This window comes from Homo sapiens, chromosome 6, assembly GCF_000001405.40.
Source record: "Homo sapiens chromosome 6, GRCh38.p14 Primary Assembly".
In the NCBI taxonomy this organism is placed as follows: domain Eukaryota; kingdom Metazoa; phylum Chordata; class Mammalia; order Primates; family Hominidae; genus Homo; species Homo sapiens.
In genome coordinates this window covers 117,403,909-117,426,567 of record NC_000006.12, presented here as the reverse complement: position 1 = coordinate 117,426,567, position 22,659 = coordinate 117,403,909, and the positions used below count along the sequence as shown (strand labels likewise).

Genomic DNA, 22,659 nt, shown 5'->3' with positions numbered 1-22,659 from the left:
GCTGAGGCAGGAGAATCGCTTGAACCTGGGAGGCGGAGGTTGCAGTGAGCTGGGATCATGCCACTGCACTGTAGCCTGGGCGACAGACAGAAATTCAGTCTCAAAGAAAGAGAGAGAGAGAGAGAGAGGAAGGAAGGCAGGCAGGAAGGAAGCTTGTACAATGTTTCCTTCTCAAAGCAGACACTTGAACATATCTTAGGTTTCTGGTAACTAGTTTCAGCTGTCTCGATAGACCTGATAAGTCAGTATTTTAGTTAATATGTAGTAAAGTTCTGAGAGTACTCTAACCAACTTCCTTGTTTTTAACTCTCTCCCAGGGTATTTGTCTATTAATTTCAGCTTTGTTTGCTCTTAAATTTAAAAATATGTATTTGGCTTCTGAGTTCTGTTTTCTCTCTCAGTTGCATTGCTTGATTTGGGTGCCTCTATTTTTCCAATAATTCTTTATTATAATAGTGCTACTGTTTGCTAAAGCATACGTGGTCAAAACCCAATTCCCTGCAGAGCTGAAAAGAGCTCAGAGAAGTAAGGTGGTGGACGACCCACTGAAATGTTCCAGTTTCAGACTGCATGTGTCACACCCTTGCTGAAATACAATTCGTTTTCTTTAATTTCCATGTGAAGTGCACTTCTAAGAACTAACCTTTAGTCACTGGGTGACTTTATGGGAGTAAAAGGAAGCTGTTATGAAATAGCTCTTATGGAACTGTTACAAGCTTTCAAGCATTCAAAGGTCTAAATGAAAAAGGCTAAGTATTATTTCAAAAGGCAAGTATATCCTAATATAGCAAAACAAACAAAGCAAAATCCATCAGCTACTCCTCCAATTGAAGTGATGAAGCCCAAATAATTCATATAGCAAAATGGAGAAAATTAGACCGGCCATCTAAAAATCTGCCATTGGTGAAGTGATGAAGAACATTTACTGTCTTATTCCGAAGCTTGTCAATTTTGCAACTCTTGGCTGCCTATGGATTTCTGTGGTGCAGTGTACAGTTTTAAATAGCTGCCTAAAGTCGTGTGTAACTAATCTGGTAAGTCTCACAATCTAATATTTGTCTTTGCAGGAACTAGAACATGTAGCATTCAGCTTGTTATAACTGATAGAATTGTTTTCTCTTTATGAGGAGTTTTCTTATGAGAAGTGGTGGCAACAAGGCAAGATAGATTATTTTTTCTTAAATAAGTTAGGAGCCCTTATAATTGCAGAAGATAAAGCAGGCTATTTTATTTCTTTAGGGTATGTGGTCATATATTTTTTGGGCTAGAGGACTGGGTAAAGGAGGTTTAAATGGAATCAATTTTGCCAATTTTGCACACTTAAAAACTTTCTATTTAAACTTATTTATTACAAAGTCATTAGTAGTTGTCTTGAAACCTGAAATCGGTTTGGCCACAGGATAATGCCTGCTAATTCCAGCTGTGTAGGGAGCTGGATGAAAAAGGAAGCAGATACAGTTGCCATGTAAAATAATATTTTAAAGCAATAATTATTTGTACATTTCTTTATTTCTGTTTGTGCATTTATTATTTTAGTTAGTGAGTTTTTTATATGGAAATTCATGCTTTCATTCTCATTTCTGGGTGTCATCCCTTCTCTAACTATTGTACCATCTCTTTTCAGTTGTAATTTAGTTGTGCTTAAAACAGTCACTGAATTAACTTTAAAAACCAAGTACTCTATAGACAGAGAAAATGCACTCTTCCTGTCTAAAGACAAATAAAATATCATGATAGTTTGCATATGACCCTATCTATAGCCATACTTTTAAACATAATGCAAGTACTAAATATAGTATTCATTATATTATTCTAAAGTATTGGAGATAGAATTATGTGGCAGATTAAAAAGAAACTTGCACTTATACACTTTTGATTTAAACTGTAGTTTAAAACACTACTTAGGTTTACCATGGTTAGTAGCATTTTTTTAAAAGTTTAGTATTTTATATAAATCTTTGCCGAAGACTTCATTGCCTTTAATATAGAATTGCATGCTTTAGTTTTTTATATTTGTAACCCAAACTTAAAAATGGAAGAATGGAACTACTAAATGTTTCAACTACTGAATGGAAAACTAAATGTTCTAAAAAAGATTTTAACTTTTTTCTAATTATAATAAGAGTATACATTTTAAATAAAATATTTATAACATAGAGAACTACAGAAGAATAAAAAACTTCTAATTCTAGCCCTAGTAATCTTTTGATTGAATTTTCTTTTAGTATTTTTCCTCATATATATATATGTATACATATATATCTATAATTTACACCCAGCTATGCAACCAGCTTTTTCATTACATTGTATTGTGAGTTTTCCCCTAGACCCTGAGATTTTTTTAGAAACAGAATCTTTATTATCTTTAGAGTATTCCATTATATGAATGTACCACCATAATTTATTTGTTAATTTCCCTGCTACTGAAACTGATTTTAGTTGTTTCCAATATTGCAGTCTCCATTTTATTTTACTGTCGTTTTATTTATTCTTATCTTTTTGTGTGGGCTCCTTGCTTCCAGGGTTTGGCAGTAGGAATAGACAGTTTGTTCCTTTGTTGAGTTGCCTTCCGTTCACCACCTACAGAGAATGGCACAGCTGATGTGTGGCAACAGCAAGAGAGACACGGTCTGCCAATTTGACCAGTGAAAGTACTACATGTTCCCACATAGGGCCTGGAGGGACAAAAGTGAAGTGAATGTACAATTGAATGTAACCATGGTTCACAGGAGAGGATATACAAAGTGCTCAAGTTTATTATATTTTCTGCATCATTTTTAAAAACATGGACATTTACTCTGAAGGTCATCTATAATTTTATTGGGTGATTCTTGATATTGAGAAATGTTTTCTTAAAAAAAAAAAGTCACCACAAGAATGTCTTGTCCAAAAATAAAATGTTAGAATTGTGGGCCAAATTGCACGAAGCAGAGTTCTATGCTTGAGCATTGGTATTTTACATTACTTTTATCTTACGTTAACAGAGATCTGCATGTACTAGTTGAAAGTATTAACTGAAAAGTTTTTTTGAATTCTAGAAGCCATGTGCTGCAGAAAACAACAAACAATTAATGCTCTTCAGAACTCTAGTATTGTGAGATCCTTTATGATAAAGAAAAAAGAATTCACGGTTGAATCATTTGTGGAAGTGTATTTTGCTATGCCCTCTTTTTGTAGATTCACAGGGCACAATAACATGTTAAAAGCTTTGTTTAATCATAATTTTCCCATCTTTAGCAACAAAACCCTTTTTTAATGTTTCCATAAGTTATTGGGGGAACAGGTGCTATTTGGTTACATGAGTAAATTCTTTAGTGGTGATCTGTGAGATTTTGGTGCACCCATCAGCCATGTATACACTACACCATATTTGTAGTCTTTTATCCCTCACCCTGCTCCCACTCTTTCCCCTAAGTCCCCAAAGCCCATTGTATCATTTTTATGCCTTTGCATTCTCATAGTTTTGCTCCCACTTATCAGTGAGAACATACGATGTTTGGTTTTCCATTCCTGAATTACATCACAAACCCCCTTTTTTTTTTGAATTAACAAATCACAACAACTGAGGAACTAATATTGAGAAGGGCTCAGGAGTATCAATTCCATTCAATAAATTTCATTCAATATCAATTTATTGAATGGATTCCATTCAATAAATTTTCCTAGGTATCTATGTATATTCAGCTCTGTGGTGGATGCAATTCGGAATACAAAAGAAGTGAATTATGTAATCAATGCCCTAAAGTAAGTTATCAAATACTGAGATATCAAGGTTTCTATCACTAGACAGTTAAAGGCTGTTACAAACATGATGTGCTTTTATAATATTAGAGGGTGATGACAATACATTTATTTTTGATTTGTATCTTAAGTTCCAAAGAAATAAACTGAAAATCAACTGAAAGACTATTAGAAATAATAGGATTTGGAAGATTTTTAAAAAATTAATGTACAGACATGAAAAATTGTCTTGTATATCAATATATAACATTAAAACAAAATAATATAATAAGATCATAATTCAGAAATTTTATAAAATATTTACAAATTAGCATAGTTTTTATTGCTACAGGAATAAACCTGTGAGTAAAACAGAATACAATCAAGAAATAAAACCATGTACATAAAGAATGTGAAATATGATAAAGATGACAATTCAAACCAATGAGTTGCTATCCATGTAGCATAAAAAATTCCTACATAACTGCCAGATTCAAATAAATTTCAGGATATATTTTGTAAAAAGGTATGACTTTTGGTTAAGTGCGATGGCTCATGCCTGTAATTCCAGCACTATGGGAGGCTGAGGCGGACAGTTCCCTTCAGCCCAGGAGTTTGAGACCAGCCTGGGCAACATGGTGAGACTCCTGTCTCTACAACAAATACAAAAATTAGCTAGGCGTGGTGGCATGCACCTGTAGTCCCAGCTACTTAGGAGGCTGAGGTGGGAGGATTGATTGAGCAGGGAGGTCGAGGATGCTGTCAGCTGTGATTACACCACTGTGCTCCAGCCTGGGTGACTCTGTTTCTAAGAAACAAAAACAGAAAGGTTTACTTAAATGCAAACAGACAAATAAACAAAACAAAGCAAGTGTTTACTTCATAAAAATATTAGAAGAAATTGGGGTGACTGTTTCTGTAATCTTGAAGTAGAAATGCCTTAAGAAGCCTAATTAAAAAATTTAGACTCCCTAAAAAGAAATTATCAATAAATTTGACTACTTAGAAACTTAAACTGTTATGACAACAGTATACAATAACTGCAAAGCCAAAAAGTGGAAAAAAAGTATTACACATGATAAATAATGTTTTTAAAGAAAAAATCCCTGATACACATAAAAGCATGTAAGATGAATTTAGAATATAAACAGCCACTTCAAAAAAGAAGTATAAGTGTCCATCAACTGATGAGTGGATAAAAAAATGTGATATATATACACCATGGAATACTACTCAGCCATAAAAAGGAATGAAATAATGTCTTTGCAGCAACTTGGATGGAGCTGGAGGCCATTATTCTATGGAGGCCATTATTTGGCCAGGAATAGAAAACCAAATACCGTATGTTCTCACTTATAAGTGGTAGCTAAGCTATGGGTACACAAAAGCATGCAGAGTGGTATAATGGACTTTGGAGACTCAGAAGGGGGAGGGAAGGAGAGGAGTGAGGGATGAAAAACTACATGTTGGGTACAATGTATACTACTTGGGTGAAAGGTGCACTAAGATCTCAGACTTCACCACTATATAATTTATCCATGTAACCAAAAACCACTTGTACCCCAAAAGGTATTGGAAATATATATATATTTCCTATATATATATATATTGCAATATAATATATATAATTCCAATATAATATGTATTCCAATTCATATATTCCAATATAATATATAATATATATTATAAAAATGGCTAAAAAGCATGTGATAGATATTCAACCTCACAGCAACCACAGAATTGCAGAATAAAAATAAATTATCAATTTTTCTTCTATCAAATTGGCAAAGATAAAAACATTTATAGTTGGGAAAAGGTACAGGTAAACTTCTATTTTCATGAATTGTTGGTTGGATGTAAATGGATAAATTTCTAGAAAAGAATGCGTTATTAAATCTCAAAATTGAAAGAGAAAATATACCTCTAATTTATGCATCAAATTTATCTGAGGATATTATTGTTTAACTAACCAAAGATATGTATGCAAAAGGCTGTTAACAGCAAGTTGGGACATAATACTACTAATACATTTCTAAGTGCCTGCACTGCACTATAATAATTATTGCATTTAATTGAATCTTCACAGAAGCTTATGAATTAAGTATTATCCTACTTATGTCCCGGATACGACCACTAAGTTTAGATGGCACAGGTAACTTTGAGAATATCACATTGGGAGCAAATATCATGTGGAATTAAAATACAGATCATTCTGCTCTGTTCCATTTATTATTATTATTATTATTATTATTTAAAATTTTATTATTATTATACTTTAAGTTTTAGGGTACATGTGCACAATGTTCAGTTTTGTTACATATGTATACTTGTGCCATGTTGGTGTGCTGCACCCATTAACTCGTCATTTAGCATTAGGTATATCTCCTAATGCTATCCCTCCCCCCTCCCCCCACCCCACAACATTTATTAGGGTAGGAAGTAAAGAATGAGATTAGTTCTGCCTGAGGTGGGCAGAATAGAAAAGCTTATGTCAAGAAGTGGGTATTAGGTTAAGAAAGTTTGAGATCTGGGACTGAATTTGACTACTGGAAGCAGATAATTGGCGTAGTTGGAGCTAAGGCAAACCAGCGGGGATCCTAATGTTCAAAATGAAAAATGTGATTTTGGTGGAGATTATGGAAGGCATCCGGTTAAGAGCACAGGTTCTGGAGTCAATCACTCTGCCCCCTTCAAATCCTAATCCAGGTAATTTACTAAACTTCCCTGTGCCCCAGCTGTAAAATGAGGTTAATTATAGCAGCTACCTTATAGGGTTGCTGAGATGATTCAATGAGATTTAGTGTAAAACACCTATAAGAGTGCCTGAAACATAGCAATAATTCAATAAATGTTAGCTATTGTAATTGTGAGGAGAAGAATGGGGAATGAGTGGAGATTAGGGAAGAGTGTTGACAAAATCTGCCTCATTAGAAACCCTTAGACCTGACTGTGAGGCTACCCTGCCCAAGACCATTTGATGGTCATTTCACTCAGCCCGTTAAATTTACTCCTGAGAAGAGCCATCAGGACTCACTACCGTTACAGTGTGACTATGATCATCAAGAAATATCTCTGCTCTCCTACTGTTTAAAATGGAACACAAAGACTACCCAGCATCCACCCTTTTGCTTTTATGAGTTAACATGCATTTTTGAAGGGGTAGGAAAAGATTCAATTTTCAACTCATTATCTCTCACCTGATTTTTATTTGCTTGCGATTCAACCAACTTTTGAACAAAATCATGAAAACACAGTACTATTAAGCACTCGGTTGCAAAATTCATCTAACAGATAGAATTCTTACTGTCTAAATGTTTATTATCTAAAAACAAAAGCCAATAATCATCCTTCTTCTTTTCCTACAAATATAACCGGTTAGGGAACGGAGTTTAAAGGAATCCTCACTCATGCTTCAAATTAAAGAAAAAAACAGGCAACATTTGTTCTTTGGTTCTTGAGTCTGATTACTTTTCAAGTCAACCCACACAATATTAAGCCATTGGATAATGTTTTCAAGGGACTTTTGGAGCATCCTTACATGGGAAACCACTTTGAATTAATGGATTTACTCCTTTAGCACATCAGTATTTATTGAACACCTGTTTCTAGCAGGCAGTGTTCCAGGTGCTGAGGATGGAGTGAAGAGCCAAATGGATAGAAAGCAGGAGCATGCTCAGTGAGCTCAGTGATAGAATGCTGCTCTCTTCTCTCTAGCAAGCACAGAACACTATGTGGGTACTTATCTGATTATCTGATGGCCCAGATTATCTGATTGCCATCCTTTGTAAACTGTCTTGTTTATGAAGGACTCTATTCAAATTATGACCAGAGAGATAACGAGCAATTTATAGATCTCTGTCCTTAGTTCCTATTTCTTTTATTTTCCTCCAGTATAAAAAAGTTCTTAAAATTTGTATGTGAGCCATAAAAGAGTAATCTTATGTTTTACTACATACCAATTTGCATTTTCTCCCTGCTCTTAATTTTAAAAAGGAAAAGTCTGAACACAGTTCATCACTCACCTAGGAGTCCTTTGACTTGATTAACTGACCAATGCCACAGGATTATTTAATTCTGCATGAGACTCTCTCCCTATAGCCACATTCTTACTTCCACCTTTGTAGTACCTGCAAAGTTCTTAAGACATTATATCTATAATTTGCACCAGCATTTTGTCTGGTAGTGATGAATTTAATGCCTCTAAAACATTTGGCTCTTTACTTTAGAGTTACAAAATGCGGAGGAGGCAACGTTATTTCAGGAAGCTTTTTTAAAAGGTGTGTTAGTTACACGGAACCCAGTACTGATGGCTGGTGTTTACTACCTCCTTCTTCATTTCAGGGCCAGCAGCTTGACCTTGGCACACCACATAATCTGAGTGAACCGGTAAGTAATTTCTTCAGTTGTCAAGAATATTACAATGTTTGTGTTGATAATGAAGGGACAATGATCAGATTTTATCACAGTAAGAATTGCTAAGTAAAATCTCATTTATCCTTGCTGGAAGAAGACAAATTGAAAATAATGAGAAGTCTGAATTTATATAAAAATGAAGTGTGTTGAAGTGGAAATAGCACAGGACCAATCCAAGTGCATGATTTTGTCTCTATGTAATTGTGTGGCTTTGGACAAATTACTTAATTTTTCTGAGATTTAGTTTTATTATGTGTTATTTGAGATCGTCTCCAATATTTCTTCTAACAATGACATTTTATGGTTTTATTACTGTTCTGCACATGTATTCATTTGTTTAACAAGTGTTTAGTGACTTAAGGTATAAGCATGCACAAGGCACTGTGCCAGGAACTAGAAACTTAACAATGAAAAAAATAGGGTCTCTGTTTAAAAGGACTCTCAACCTTTTTGAGATGCATACTTAAAACCAGAGAGACAGACATATGCATAAAATTATGGCCAGACAGCATCATCAGAACCAGAATTGTGGTGTGTGTGAGGAGTGAAAAGAGAATACACAAGAGTAAAAGGCACCTCACTTGCCTGCAAGGCCTTCAAACTAAAACTAGAAAGAGGAAGAGTTTTCCAGATGGACTAGAGGGGAAAAAGCCTATCGATCAGAGAAGGCCCTTTTTGTCAAGACACAAAGGTGTGAAGTAGCCTAAGTTGTTAAGGAAACTGAGTATTTCAGCTTGCTTGGAAATTGGGGTACATGTATAGAGGGTAGGGAAGTGGAAGACCCATTGCCAAGTTACATACCAATTGCCAAGTTACATGGAGCCACATTACGAAGGGCCTTGTCTGCCATGCTTGCTAAGTTGGTCTTAACTCACAAGTTGTTGGAAAGACATACAGAGTTTTAGATAAGAGTGTAACCAGGTTTTGTTTTAAAAAGATCACTCCAAATGTGGGAACAAGAGGGGTCCTTCCTGAGGTTTTTGGCAAGTGGTAAATGGCAAAACAGAAAATTGAGGCAGTGAGTGATGAACTCAGATGGATTTTAGTTAATGACCAGATAAGTCAATAGGGCTTCGTGATGGGTTTTCCATGAGAGGGGAGAGTGGGGTGAGAGAAGAAAACACCCTGGTTCCAGGCTTGGACAACTCAGGAGAATGTAACGCGTTAATGGGAAACACAGGAGAAAGAGCAAATTTGAGGATGGAAAGTAAGGAATTGAATTCCACATGATGGATCTGAAGTGCTTGTAGGAACTTAAATGGAGACATCTAATGAGCCAGTGGATATCTGGGTCTGGAGCTCAGGATGGAGCCTCAGCTGCAGTTAGAAGTTTGGGGGATATCAACATCCAGATTACTTGAAGCTGAGGTAGGGGATGAACTCGCTCCGGGAGAACTAGAAGAGTGAGAGGAGAAAAAGCTGAAGATGGAACACAAACACCAAAGGGGTGGAGAGAGGCAAAAAGAGATGGCAAAGGAGACTGAGCAGGAAGTAAGAAAAAGGAATCCAGGTGCCACCGTGGCCTGTGGAGGGAATGGTCAAGACAGGTACAGATGAATTAAGTAAGGTAAGAAGAAATATATCAAATCTGTCTGATAGCAGGTCAGGGCAACTCAGGGTTTTCAGGGCAGCTGTGGGGTGAAAGGTGCTAGTAGGCAGCCGACTCCCCAAACTGTCTACCTATTTAGGTTTGACATGCTACCATCTAGTTGAATCACCAGTTTTGAGTTTTGCTTGATATGTGAGGACACCTTAGGGACCCAGGATATACCAATGCCACATTGTCCTGGGCTTTACCTTTGACAACTACCCAGTGTACGGTGTCTTCGCTGAAGGTTGGCTGTTCTCTGGCTTCTAGGCCTGCACATGCCAGGCTTAACTCCACTCAGCAACTCTGCTGCCCTGCAGTGAGCCACAAGACTTGTTCTACCTGTAGATAGGACAGCTCTGTTTGGAATCCCAAAATCCTGGATCTTTTGGAGGCCTCAGGTTTCTTGGTAGGTTTCTATTTCTAAAACACAGAGTGATGCCTTTTGTTACTACATTGTACTTTCAGGTGACAAGAAAAAGTCACATTTCTTCAATCACTCACCATTGTCTGTTATTGTCTCTTGCAGTGTATCCAAGGATGTCACTTTTGGAACTCTGTAGATCAGAAAAACTGTGCTTTAAAGTGTGTAAGTATTAATTAGATTTCTATTTTGATACTGATGTTTCTTTCAAGAGGAAATTTGTGTAAGAGGATTCCCATTTGCATTTCCATTGGCTTTCAACTAGTTTGCTTGACCCTAAGACAAAACAAAACAAAACTAAAAAACCAATAGCCTGGATAATACATAGTAATGGAAAAGAGATTGAGATTAACATTTTTAATGTGACTAGAGGTCACGGAAGGTTATTGCCAATAACAGAACCCAGGGATGTTCAATCGCTCCAAAACTATAAATGTTTTTTAGTAGAATCTCCGGTATTTGTTAAATTTCCTAGGCCTATGCGTCTCAAATTTTAGTGTGCAATTATCCGGGATCTTATTAAAATGCTGATTCTGATTCAATAGGTCTTGGGTGGAGCCTGAGATTCTGCACTTGTAACAAGCTCCCAGGTGTTGCAATGCTGGTGGTTCCCAGACCACATTTTGGATACCAGGGCCGTAGGTCATGTTCAAAGTTTCTATGCAGGAAATATAGTAGGTGTCTAACTCAGGGCCGTAAACACCTGGTTTACTCCCCTTTATGTAGGAAATACATCCCCAGATACTTTATTTTTCATTTTATTATGTAGCCTGGCTTTTGCCACTCAGTGTGTAACTTAAGGTACTTAACCCCTTGGTACTTTACATTCTTCATCCATTTTAGGATAATAACAGAATCTTTCTCCTAAAGATAGAGCCTGTCGTGTTGTAACTACTCTGATCACATGATTAAGAATTTTGCCTTTTAAAAGTGGGTTCCCTTGTTTAGGTTGTTCAGGTCAGGGGTTAAATCAATAAGAATTGTGGTAATGCTGGGGAATCCTAATGTCATTTTCTATTAATGAGTTAAATTATAACATTGAGATTTAAATAATGCATTAACCTCTTTTTATATACATAGTTTTTAGAGTATATTCATAGTTTTACTTATATAGTGTGTCCTTGCAAAGTTCTATTATAGCAGTTACCTATGCCCACTCTCACATTTGTGACTGAGTGCCTCACAGAATGGAAGTTACCAAAAGGTACAGCATGTGCTATCTGGACTTAGTGGCTATTAAATATTTCTCAGAAATTGCAACTCAAACAAATAATTTGTCTAGTTGTGTGTTTAGTATCTTTTATCCCAACATGTAAGCTGTGTTGGGGCAGGATGCTGTCTGTCTTTTTTAGATTGTTATCTCTTGCACTGAATACAGTGCAGGGCATATAGCAGCTGCTCAGTCAACATTTGCTGAAGGAATGAATGGGAAGCACCATTTGTTGCTGGGAAACAATCCAGGAGGCTGTGTGGCTGCTGCAGTGGCCAGCATGGGCAGAGGAATCTGCTGTCCTTTGCTAGCAAGAGCTATTGGTGGTTTTCATTTCCTGTTCTATTTACCTTTGGCATTTGCAAATACTCCTTCACTCTCTTAACTTGGTCCACCACAGATTACCTCAGCCTGCTGAGATTTTTCTGGTGGACATCATATTCTCCCATTTTTCCAGTGATGCAAACAGCTTAATTTTTAGAGCTGCTTATACAGTGTCCTGCCTAGACAGGGGGTCCTGCTCTGGGCTCCCTTGTTTCTGTTGTTTTTTTGGTTGTTTATCAATGGTGGGGCAATAAATTAATTTGAAATGATTGTACAGCTCAGTGTCACTAAAATTATTTACAACTTTCAAGATTTTAAGTAGTCTTTTTTTTTTTCTATGCAGAATGATACTTATGCCACCGTTTGTGAGGTGAGTTGGCAATCACAAAAAAGATGTAATCAAGCCACATGTCTTCATCTCTGGTCTCTAAAAAGCTTTTAAAATAGGGGTGAAGAAACCTAAAATTCTCAGTGCACTGAGACATTCTTCCTCAAAGTGTTATTACTCTGAGTATACAGATGACTGTAAAATTCCATTTTGGCACAAATATTTACTGTTTTATGTATCTATGTGCATGTATATAATATATATGTTCCTATGTGCATACACACACATTCACCATTTGCATATATATTACTCTAATCTGGTTTGGGAGGTTATAATCCCTGGACCCTGGGCAGAGTTGGAGTTGGGGTAATGGAGGGGAGAGAAGGAAGAGGCACATTCAGAGATATCTCTGCTGATTCCATTTTCTTCCCCACAATGTATAGTGCTCTATCATTAAATATAGGACATTAAAAGAGAATCCTTTAATTGCAACTTTCTTTCTTGCTTGCTTGCTTGCTTACTTTCTTGCTTTCTTCCTCTCTTTCTCCCTCTCTTTCTCTCTCTTTCTTTTCTTTCTTTCTTCTCACAGTCTCACTCTGTCACCCAGGGTGGAGTGCAGTGGTGCAATCTCGGCTGACTGCAACCTCTGCCTCCCAGGTTTAAGTGATTCTCCTGCCTCAACTTTCTGAGTAGCTGGGGCTACAGGCATGTGCCACCATGCCTGGCTAACTTTGTATTTTTAGTAGAGATGGGGTTTTGCCATGTTGGCCAGGCTGATCTCGAACTCCTGATTTCAAGTGATCCACCCACCTCAGCCTCCCGAAGTGCTGGGATTACAGGCATGAGCCACCAAGCCTGGCCGTAATTTTCTTTCTTGTGCAACAAAATCCTTTGCCAACATTTTGCAAGACAGCTTCTACCCACCCCTTCTCCCAATGGTAAGTAATGTCTCACACTGCCCTGCCCAGGTGTCCTTACGGTGCTCTAAGCAACCTCTGCTACACTTGATTTTCTCTCTTTCAAAGAGACCTTGACGTTTTGATGTTTCCTACTTAGTCTTCAGCTGAACTTACCTGTCCTGTATTTCATCCCTTCAAAATAAGGTTATTTGACAATAGATGATATGAAGAAGCTACATTATTTATCAGTTTAAAACCTATGTTGGCTGGGTATGGTGGTGTGCACCTGTAATCCCAGCTACTTCGGAGGTTCAAGTAGGAGGATTGCTGGAGGTCAGGAGTTTGAGAGCATCCTGGGAAACATAGCACGACTGTCCCCTAAAGAAAAAAAACTTTAAAACCTATGTTGTATTCTTTTTTAAATATCCTTGAAACTGGTAACCAGAAGCCTGGGGAAGCAGTATAAATTATCCTTCATTAGTAAAACAGAAAAAATTCCCTCTTAATAGAGAGCAAAAATACAAACAAAAAATTAAATTGGCATGTTTTCTCAGTTGTTACTGGTTGGTTATAAAAATTGCATCTGAGCAATTTTTCTTGGGAATGGGTGGAGGTGAGGGTTGGCTAAGAAGAGAGACAGAAAACAGAGGAGAAAAGTCACCCATATGTAAAGAGACAAAGGTCTCTCCTCATTGAGATAGAAAAAAAAATTGCCTGCAAATCCTTTTATGTGATGAAAGCAAAATTACCCCCAAAGAATAGTCCCTAGGATAAATGTACCAGTGTCAGGAAAATCAGGGAGAGAGAGCCTTTAAAGCATCGAAGCAGCCCAGGATTAGATCTGTAATGTGCTAATTCTTTGTTAATCATTATGCTGCTCAGTTTTCTGTGATTATATAGTGTAAATCTTTCCTCTCAGTGTTATAACTTGTATAACTATTCTTTCTCTTTATACTTTGCTATTTTACACTTTAAAATGTTTCACTTTAAATAAAGTAGAACTGAACAGGAATACATGCTATGTGTATATCTATCTATCTATCTATCTATCTATCTGTCTATCTATCTATGTACCTATCTATCTATCTATCACCTCAGTTATCCACACCTTTAGGAAATCAAACTCCTTACTCATTGATGTTTGAACGTAGGAAGCTTGTCATTTTTGCAATTCTTATTTCTTGGAAAGAATAATCTTGAAAGTGATAGCTCAGTGAAATAGAACTTGGAAAATGACGATGGCTAGTGAGATGGCTTGTCCCTGATAATTAAAACACAAATTAGATCTTATCATTGCATCTTGGCCTTTGGCTATATAGCTATATATAGAATGAAACAAAAGAATATATATACATATATATTTATATATGTAGTATAAAATAGTCAAAATAGATCTTATTATAGCCAATTGATCTTATTGTACCTGAAACATTTCAATGGCTTTTTACTGCTCTTTGGAAAAAATTACAAAATACAAAGGTCTACCAGCTCCACTGCCTGCCTGTCTTGACTTCATCTCATACTCTCCCCTTGGTCTCTGTGCTGGCCACACTGACCTTTCCCTCTTTCTTGACATAGAAGACACATTCCTGCCTCAAAGTTTTCATCGTGCTGTTGCTTCTGCTTTTGCCCAAATCTCTGCAAGCCCAGCTCCTCCTAATGACTGAAGTCTTGGCTTGGATCACCCTAATAAAGTCTCCTTCTCTGCCTAGTTATACCTGTGCCTTTGACTTATTTTCGTCCTAGCAATTTTCATTATCAGAATTATTTTTTCTTTTTAAAAATTTGTCACTCAGTTATTATCTACCTCCTTCTAAGGGAAGTCCTGTAAGGCAGGGAGTTTAACTTTCTTGCTTACTGTCATATTCTTAGATCCCAAAACCATGCTTGGCATGAAAAAAGCCAATTGTTCAAATATTCTTGAATGAATGAATGAATAATTTTTAAGGGAACAATGCCTCAGTTCATATGGAGGGCAGTGGGCGAGGCTTCCTAGTGTTACAGAAGCTGGAAAGGGCACTGGCAGCCTGTGTGCCAGTCTGGGAAACCAAGGGTGGAGCCAGAGGGACAATAAAGATGGACTGACTACGATGAGGAAGATGGGAATGTGGGGGAACGGAGAGAGCAAGCTGATGTAGCCCCTGGAAGAGTATACTTGGCCTCCACTGTGGGAATGGCAGCTCAGTAACGTGGAATATTCCACATGAATGTCCCATCCAGAGGCTTCAGGCTCAGATTCTGTAAATTCCTTAAATCCAACCATCTTTAGATTCTCTCTAGGCAACTCAAGCTTGAGAAACACTGGATAACTTTATTTGAAGTCCAATGTTGAATTGCCACCATGGTTCAGGGCGGGGTGAAGGGAGGTGAAAGGAGTGGGGGGATGGAGAGAGTGGGAGGGAGGGAGGGAGAGAGAGAAAGAGAGAGAGAGAGAGAGAGAGATTGAGAGAAGGAAACGTAGTTGTTAGCTTTGCCTCCACTTGAGATAACTTTTAAACTCCCAGAAGGATGGGAATTTTATTATCGATTTCCCCTGAAAATATCAGAAAAAACAGGACCACAATTTCTCCTGATTGTCAAGACTACCTATATTTCAAAATAATCTGTATTTCCAAATACATCTCGTCTCTTCTCCTCAGTTTTCTTTTTTGGAAAAAAACCCCTCATGTTATATAATAATTTTGCTGTGAATTGGTTTGTTTATTCTCTGCAGTTCATAAATATGTTGAAGGCTTCACTAAAATATGTAAACAGGATGCGAAACGTATACTAAATCTTGAAATTAAATAATTCCAAACCCAAACTGAGGTATTTAAATTAATCCTTACCTAAGCAAACCTGGGCTTATCAGGCACCCTTCCTTTTAGTATGCAGATCAATCATTGAACTGTTCATGTTTGCAAGTTATAGCTCTTCTTTTTAGGGCAAATGTATTGTGCCTGCTTTCCGCTATTACCATGAGAAACAATAGCATGTTGTCCTAGGTATTATAGTTACAAGTTGAAAGACAGCAGGAAGATTGATCATGATTGTGTTGTAGTTTTACAATATGCGCCTTTTCTGCAAGTATGTGTGTGTGTGTTTTGTAGCTGATGTTAATGCATCTGTTAAGAGTTGCAGGAAATTTGTGTTTCAGTCATCAAATTATGTACTGTGTTTTTCATTAATGAGATAAAATGTAAATATCATTAAGTTTTCATAGATTTTAAAACTCAGCATTGGTATAAAGATATTCATTGAAATATTCAGCTACTCTACAAATTTATAGTCCACTTTTAATTTTCCAAGGAAGACCGGGATATATAAAATAAATAGGTAATCCCTAAGCATCATTTTACTCTAAAGTTTTAGATTTTAAGCTCATTAAAACATTGACCAAAATGGCAAGCAGATAATTGTACTGCTAAGCTCAGTGTTTTTTCAAACCATACGATGTGACACATTAGAGGGTCGTCAAATCAATTCAGCCAACCAAGAGTCACATTAAACAAAATGAAACAATAGAATAGAATATCATTGTACATATAAGAGCACATCAGAGACAAGGGGTTTCTTTTGGGGACAACGAAAATGTTCTAAAATTAGATTGTGGTGATTATTGCACAACTCTGAATATTCTAACAGCACTGAACTGTGTACTTTAAATACGTGAGTTTATGGCAGGTGAATATATTTCAATAAAACTTCTAAAAATGGAGGGAAAAGTAAGGATCATTTCAGGAATCTTTTTTTCAACATGTATGTGTGTACTAAGTTGTTTTGTTAAATTATTTTTTGCTATGGAGCATGGTCAAAAGTTTGGGAAATGCCAGTCTAGCAAGTGGGAATTTTACTGCAGGGGAAATAGTTGACATAAAGATGTACTTGCGTATTAGGCACTCCGATTTCAAAGATTTACTCGTATATTGGTCAAAGATATACTTGCATATTAGGCATTCGGATTTTAAAATTTAGTTGAAGCTTATCAGCAAAACCAGTATCAAGGCTGCCCTGACTGTCATGCTCCCTGTCTTCCACAGCGGGAGTCGTGTGAGGTTGGCTGTAGCAGCGCGGAAGGTGCATATGAAGAGGAAGTACTGGGTAAGAGGACACACACGACTTTTAAAAAATAGGCTGCACCACTCTAGTGACTTGTACTTATGTAAAGATAACGAAACACCTCTCAAAACATCTTGATTTCTGCATCTCAATATGATCAAAAATATCTATTTAGAGAATTCAATAATTTCAAACGTATAGGCCATTCTGATAAAATTCAGCAAGATTCTTCTTTCAGAACAAAACAGAGTAAACAGTACATGACTAATGTTTAGGACCAGATTTTGTCCTCAAGTTCAGTAGGTACACTCACTTCTCTCTTAATGACAGACAAATGTACATCCTGAGCAGACTTGATGTCAGAGAATGCCAGTTTTTTTTCTCTCTTTTTTATTTATTTATTTATTTTATTATACTTTAAGTTTTAGGGTACATGTGCCCAACGTGCAGGTTTGTTACATATGTATACATGTGCCATGTTGGTGTGCTGCACCCATTAACTCATCATTTAACATTAGGTGTATCTCCTAATGCTATCCCTCCACCCTCCCCCCACCCCACAACAGGCCCTGGTGTGTAATGTTCCCCTTCCTGTGTCCATGTGTTCTCATTGTTCAATTACCACCTATGAGTGAGAACATGCAGTGTTTGGTTTTTTGTCCTCGCGATAGTTTGCTGAGAATGATGGTTTCCAGCTTCATCCATGTCCCTACAAAGGACAGGAACTCATCATTTTTTATGGCTGCACAGTATTCCATGGTGTATGTGTGCCACGTTTTCTTAATCCAGTCTATCATTGTTGGACATTTGGGTTGGTTCCAAGTCTTTGCTGTTGTGAATAGTGCTGCAATAAACATACGTGTGCATGTGTCTTTATAGCAGCATGATTTATAATCCTTTGGGTATATACCCAGTAATGGGATGGCTGGGTCAAATGATATTTCTAGTTCTAGATCCCTAAGGAATCGCCACACTGACTTCCACAATGGTTGAACTAGTTTACACTCCCACCAACAGTGTAAAAGTGTTCCTATTTCTCCACATCCTCTCCAGCACCTGTTGTGTCCTGACTTTTTAATGAACGCCGTTCTAACTGGTGTGAGATGGTATCTCATTGTGGTTTTGATTTGCATTTCTCTGATGGCCAGTGATGATGAGCATTTTTTCATGTGTTTTTTGGCTGCATAAATGTCTTCTTTGGAGAAGTGCCTGTTCGTATCCTTCGCCCACTTTTTGATGGGGTTGTTTGTTTTTTTCTTGTAAATTTGTTTGAGTTCGTTGTAGATTCTGGATATTAGCCCTTTGTCAGATAAGTAGATTGCAAAAATTTTCTCCCATTCTGTAGGTTGCCTGTTCAGTCTGATGGTAGTTTCTTTTGCTGTGCAGAAGCTCTTTAGTTTAATTAGATCCCATTTGTCAATTTTGGCTTTTGTTGCCATTGCTTTTGGAGTTTTAGACATGAAGTCCTTGCCCATGCCTATGTCCTGAATGGTATTGCCTAGGTTTTCTTCTAGGGTTTTTATGGTTTTAGGTCTAATGTTTAAGTCTTTAATCCATCTTGAATTAATTTTTGTATAAGGTGTAAGGAAGGGATCCAGTTTCAGCTTTCTACATATGGCTAGCCAGTATTCCCAGCACCATTTATTAAATAGGGAATCCTTTCCCCATTTCTTGTTTTTGTAGGTTTGTCAAAGATCAGGTAGTTGTAGATATGTGGCATTATTTCTGAGGGCTCTGTTCTCTTCATTGGTCTATATTTCTGTTTTGGTACCAGTACCATGCTGTTTTGGTTACTGTAGCATTGTAGTATAATGTGAAGTCAGGTAGCGTGATGCCTCCAGCTTTGTTCTTTTGGCTTAGGATTGACTTGGCAATGTGGGCATTTTTTTGGTTCCATGTGAACTTTAAAGTAGTTTTTCTAATTCTGTGAAGAAAGTCATTGGTAGCTTGATGGGGATGGCATTGAATCTGTAAATTACTTTGGGCAGTATGTTTTAATGACTGGAAAGTATAGGCATATTGTATTGAATGCACCTTTCATTATTCAGCTAAAAGTTATCCTATAGAGTGCGTACTGTGTGTATGACTCCCCAAAAGGCTCTAGAAATTTGTAAAAGGTACAGAAGGTATGCTTCTCAGTGTTAGATTTTGAGCAAGTAGGGGGCTTGGGTGTTTATCAGCTCCCTCTGCCTGATTTCAGCATAGGTTGGGCATGTCAAAGTAGCTTTGCCTTAGTGTGTTAACTCTCTAGTAGTTTCTAACAGGCCAGCGCTTTGATAAGTCATGGCTTGGATGTCAGCAGATATCATTTCCAGAATTCCCTAGGGCATCCTCCCACCGAGCTGTAGACAGTTCCCTTAAGTCTGAAGGATGCTTGGCTCTTCCATATGTTGTAGTTCTTGACTCAGTGGCTTGTTCCTTGCTCTCAGTGGCTGATGGAAATTGGAAGGGGAAACTTATCTTGCTGTTCTGATTTGCTTCTGCCCTTTAGTGTCCCACAAAAGACACCCTAGACGTTTCTGTGGAGAGGTAGTGATATTACATTTTTTTTTTTCTGTGTCACGGGAATTAGCTGTGGATAAAATGTATATTTTATGGGGGTCCAAGCTGTGCACTGATGTGCTCCAGGCCATTACAGCAATCTCATGAGGAGCCATGGAGTATTTTAGACACTCAAGGTAAACACAGAGATATGTGAAATCTGTTGGATGGTGATACCCAATCTGATCATAAGATTGGAGGAGTTGTGCAGTGCCCAACAGGTACACAGGCCCCATTAGCATGCAATTATTTTTATTTAAAGATGAAATAAATATACAGTTTTATCTTTCAATTTCGTATTTGTTTCAAATATCTACCAAATTATTAGATACCAAATTGACTATTAACACATACTTATTAAGTGATACTACTTAAAAAGTCGAACTGTTAGAGAATTCTTTTGGTTCAGGGAACCATAAAAAAATTTCTGAGAAACTAAGGACACCAGAACTGAGGAAGTGTGGAATCTTTTATTTACATTCCTTTATTATATTCTAAAATTATATTACCAACTTAATTATACAATTCTGTTAGAATACAAGTGTAATCAATGCTTTATTTTTATTTTCTCATTGGCTATGGATCAATGTCTATGTACCACTAACAAATGAGATGTACCAAGTCTAAATAAAGACATTTGTACTTAAAGACCATATCTATAGTCTGTTATAATGAATCCTTTCATCCATGATCCTAAGACCTTATTTGTCTTTAACACATCTGATTTCTAGGTCATTTATCGGTGAGTATGCTATGTTCACTTTAGATACCTCCCATATCTCTTTTCACATGATGGAAAATGGTAATAGCTAATAACATATTAAATAAATAGCTAATAACATAATAAATAAATAAATAAACATATATATTTGCATATACAAAATATGTATGCATGTATATGTGTGTGTGTATATATATATATGAGAGAGAGAGAGAGAGAGACAGAGTCTCATTCTGTCACCCAGGCTGGAGTACAGGGGCACAATCACAGCTCACTGTAACCTCAAACGCCTGAGTTCAAGCAGTCCTCCTGCCTCAGCCTCCTGAGTAGCTAGGCATGAGCCACCATGCCTGGCCAAAAATAGCTATTTTTTATTAGGCATTTATGAGTTGACCACTTTTCTCATTAATTAATATGTATTAGCTCCTTTTGTCCTCAGAGTTATACATACTATTATTAACCTCATTTTACAGGTGAGAAAATTGAGGCACAAAGTTTACATACTTGCTTGAGGCCACATAGCTGGTAAGGGATATCTCTGAAAGTATAACCCAGCTGCCTGGTAACAGAGCCTTTTCTTACCCACTGTGCCATGTACTGAAAATAGGATGGAGCTCAGTCTAGCTTCCCTTTTTCATTTGGCTCTCTCTTTGCCTTGATATTTTAGCATAAACCTACTTTACCTTTTTTTTTTCATATGTATCACCATGGCTTTGAAATATGTCTATGTTTAGCTATGATATTTACATTTACTTGTACTTATATAACTGATCACATCTGCCCAGTTCTCAACTTTTGTCATTTCTGATGCCTCCTGGTTATTTTTCCTCACTCTGCTGACAACTCCATCATTGGACTCCCCTTCAAGGTGTCCACAGCATACCTAATTCCTGCTATTGAGAGTCTCACAACAAGAAAGGGAAGGAAAATGGAGCTGTGCTTTGCTTATTCAGTTATAATAGTCAAAAATGGACTATAAAAAGAAGAATAAGCAGAGAAGGGTTGTGCTAGGCCTCTTTGTGGGCTAGGTCCTCGGATGACAATGGCCTTGATTTTTCTGGATTACAGAGTATAGACTTTATTTGGTCCGTGTCTGGTGTTGGTAATGATGAGAATTGCGTCAATTTTCTCTTAACCAGAGTAAGGTCCCAGGAGTTTGTAATTAACCATTTTAAGCTCCCTACCAAATTTACCATGCTTTCTCAACCAGAGTGCTGATTTTGTTTCTATAAAAGAAAGCAGAAGCATTAAATTCATCACAATTTTGGAAAAATATAAAAAGTAGAGTAAAATCATTTCATCCCAGTGACATACCATTCAGAAATCTAGCCCTTAGTACCATGCCTGGCAAGCAGCACCTGAGAAATTGCTGCCAATTGTAATACGTCTAATGTTTAGATGTCCTGAAATATTTTATAATGTGAAACAGCCAATCATAGTGTCCTTTGGAGTAAAGGCAATTGCTCTGTACATATAAAAAATAATTTCTTGTTAAGATGCACAGCAATAGTAGAATTAGAGTATAAAATTTCAGAAATATATTGGGGTACACATCCCAGGATAATGGATGGTTCTGTTGTGCCACAGACATGCTCTGAGCATTGGCTCCCCCCGCCTGTAAGAGAGTGGTATTGAAAGAGAAAACTGGACAGCTCAGAACCCTCTGTGTCATCTGCCTGTAAAAGCAAAACCTGAACAAAAAAATACTGTGTTCAAAGATAACAATAAATTCTGTGGAAAAAAGACTGACAGACTGACTGATTGATTTTTTAAAATAAACTGAATATGCATACCATTGATTATTCAAGTGAGTTATTGTGGCAAGATGCAGTTTTAGCAAGAGAATACGGAGAGCCCTAGATGAGAGAGGCACACACTCTCTTGCGCTGATGGACAGGAGTGCGTGGTGAGTGAAATCTTGTTTTTTCCCCAGAAAATGCAGACCTACCAACTGCTCCCTTTGCTTCTTCCATTGGAAGCCACAATATGACATTACGATGGAAATCTGCAAACTTCTCTGGAGTAAAATACATCATTCAGTGGAAATATGCACAACTTCTGGGAAGCTGGACTTATACTAAGGTATGAAAGGCTGCCTTTGTACCTCAACCCAGACCCCTTCCCAATTTTTTTTTTTTTTTGAGACGGAGTCTCGCTCTGTCGCCCAGGCTGGAGTGCAGTGGCGCGATCTCAGCTTACTGCAAGCTCCGCCTCTTGGGTTCACACCATTCTCCTGCCTCAGCCGCCCACAGGCGCCCGCCATCGCGCCCGGCTAATTTTTTGTATTTTCAGTAGAGACACGGTTTCACCGTGTTAGCCAGGATGGTCTCATCTCCTGACCTCGTGATCCGCCCGCCTCGGCCTCCCAAAGTGCTGGGATTACAGGCATGAGCCACCTCGCCCTGCCCCCAATTTTTAAAAGTGCCAAATTATTACTTATAAGCGTAAAGGCC

The 22,659-nt window shown here is 37.4% G+C and overlaps 1 protein-coding gene across 17 annotated transcripts in view; it reads left to right on the top strand.

The window, feature by feature from the left end:
- The window catches only part of ROS1 (ROS proto-oncogene 1, receptor tyrosine kinase), a 138,590-nt gene continuing 116,556 nt past the window's right edge, over window positions 626–22,659 (top strand). For 13 of the 17 annotated variants that reach the window (XM_011536053.3, NM_001378902.1, XM_006715548.5 and 10 more), the window contains exons 1-6: window positions 626–1,034; window positions 8,062–8,106; window positions 10,251–10,310; window positions 12,023–12,049; window positions 16,926–16,986; window positions 22,140–22,288. In XM_011536053.3, the coding sequence (XP_011534355.1) occupies window positions 912–1,034; window positions 8,062–8,106; window positions 10,251–10,310; window positions 12,023–12,049; window positions 16,926–16,986; window positions 22,140–22,288 (465 nt within the window). In that variant the 5' untranslated portion in view covers window positions 626–911. The remainder of the gene's footprint in view (window positions 1,035–8,061; window positions 8,107–10,250; window positions 10,311–12,022; window positions 12,050–16,925; window positions 16,987–22,139; window positions 22,289–22,659) is intronic. The other 4 variants (XM_017011173.2, XM_017011172.2, NM_002944.3 and 1 more) reach the window with 1 other exon arrangement.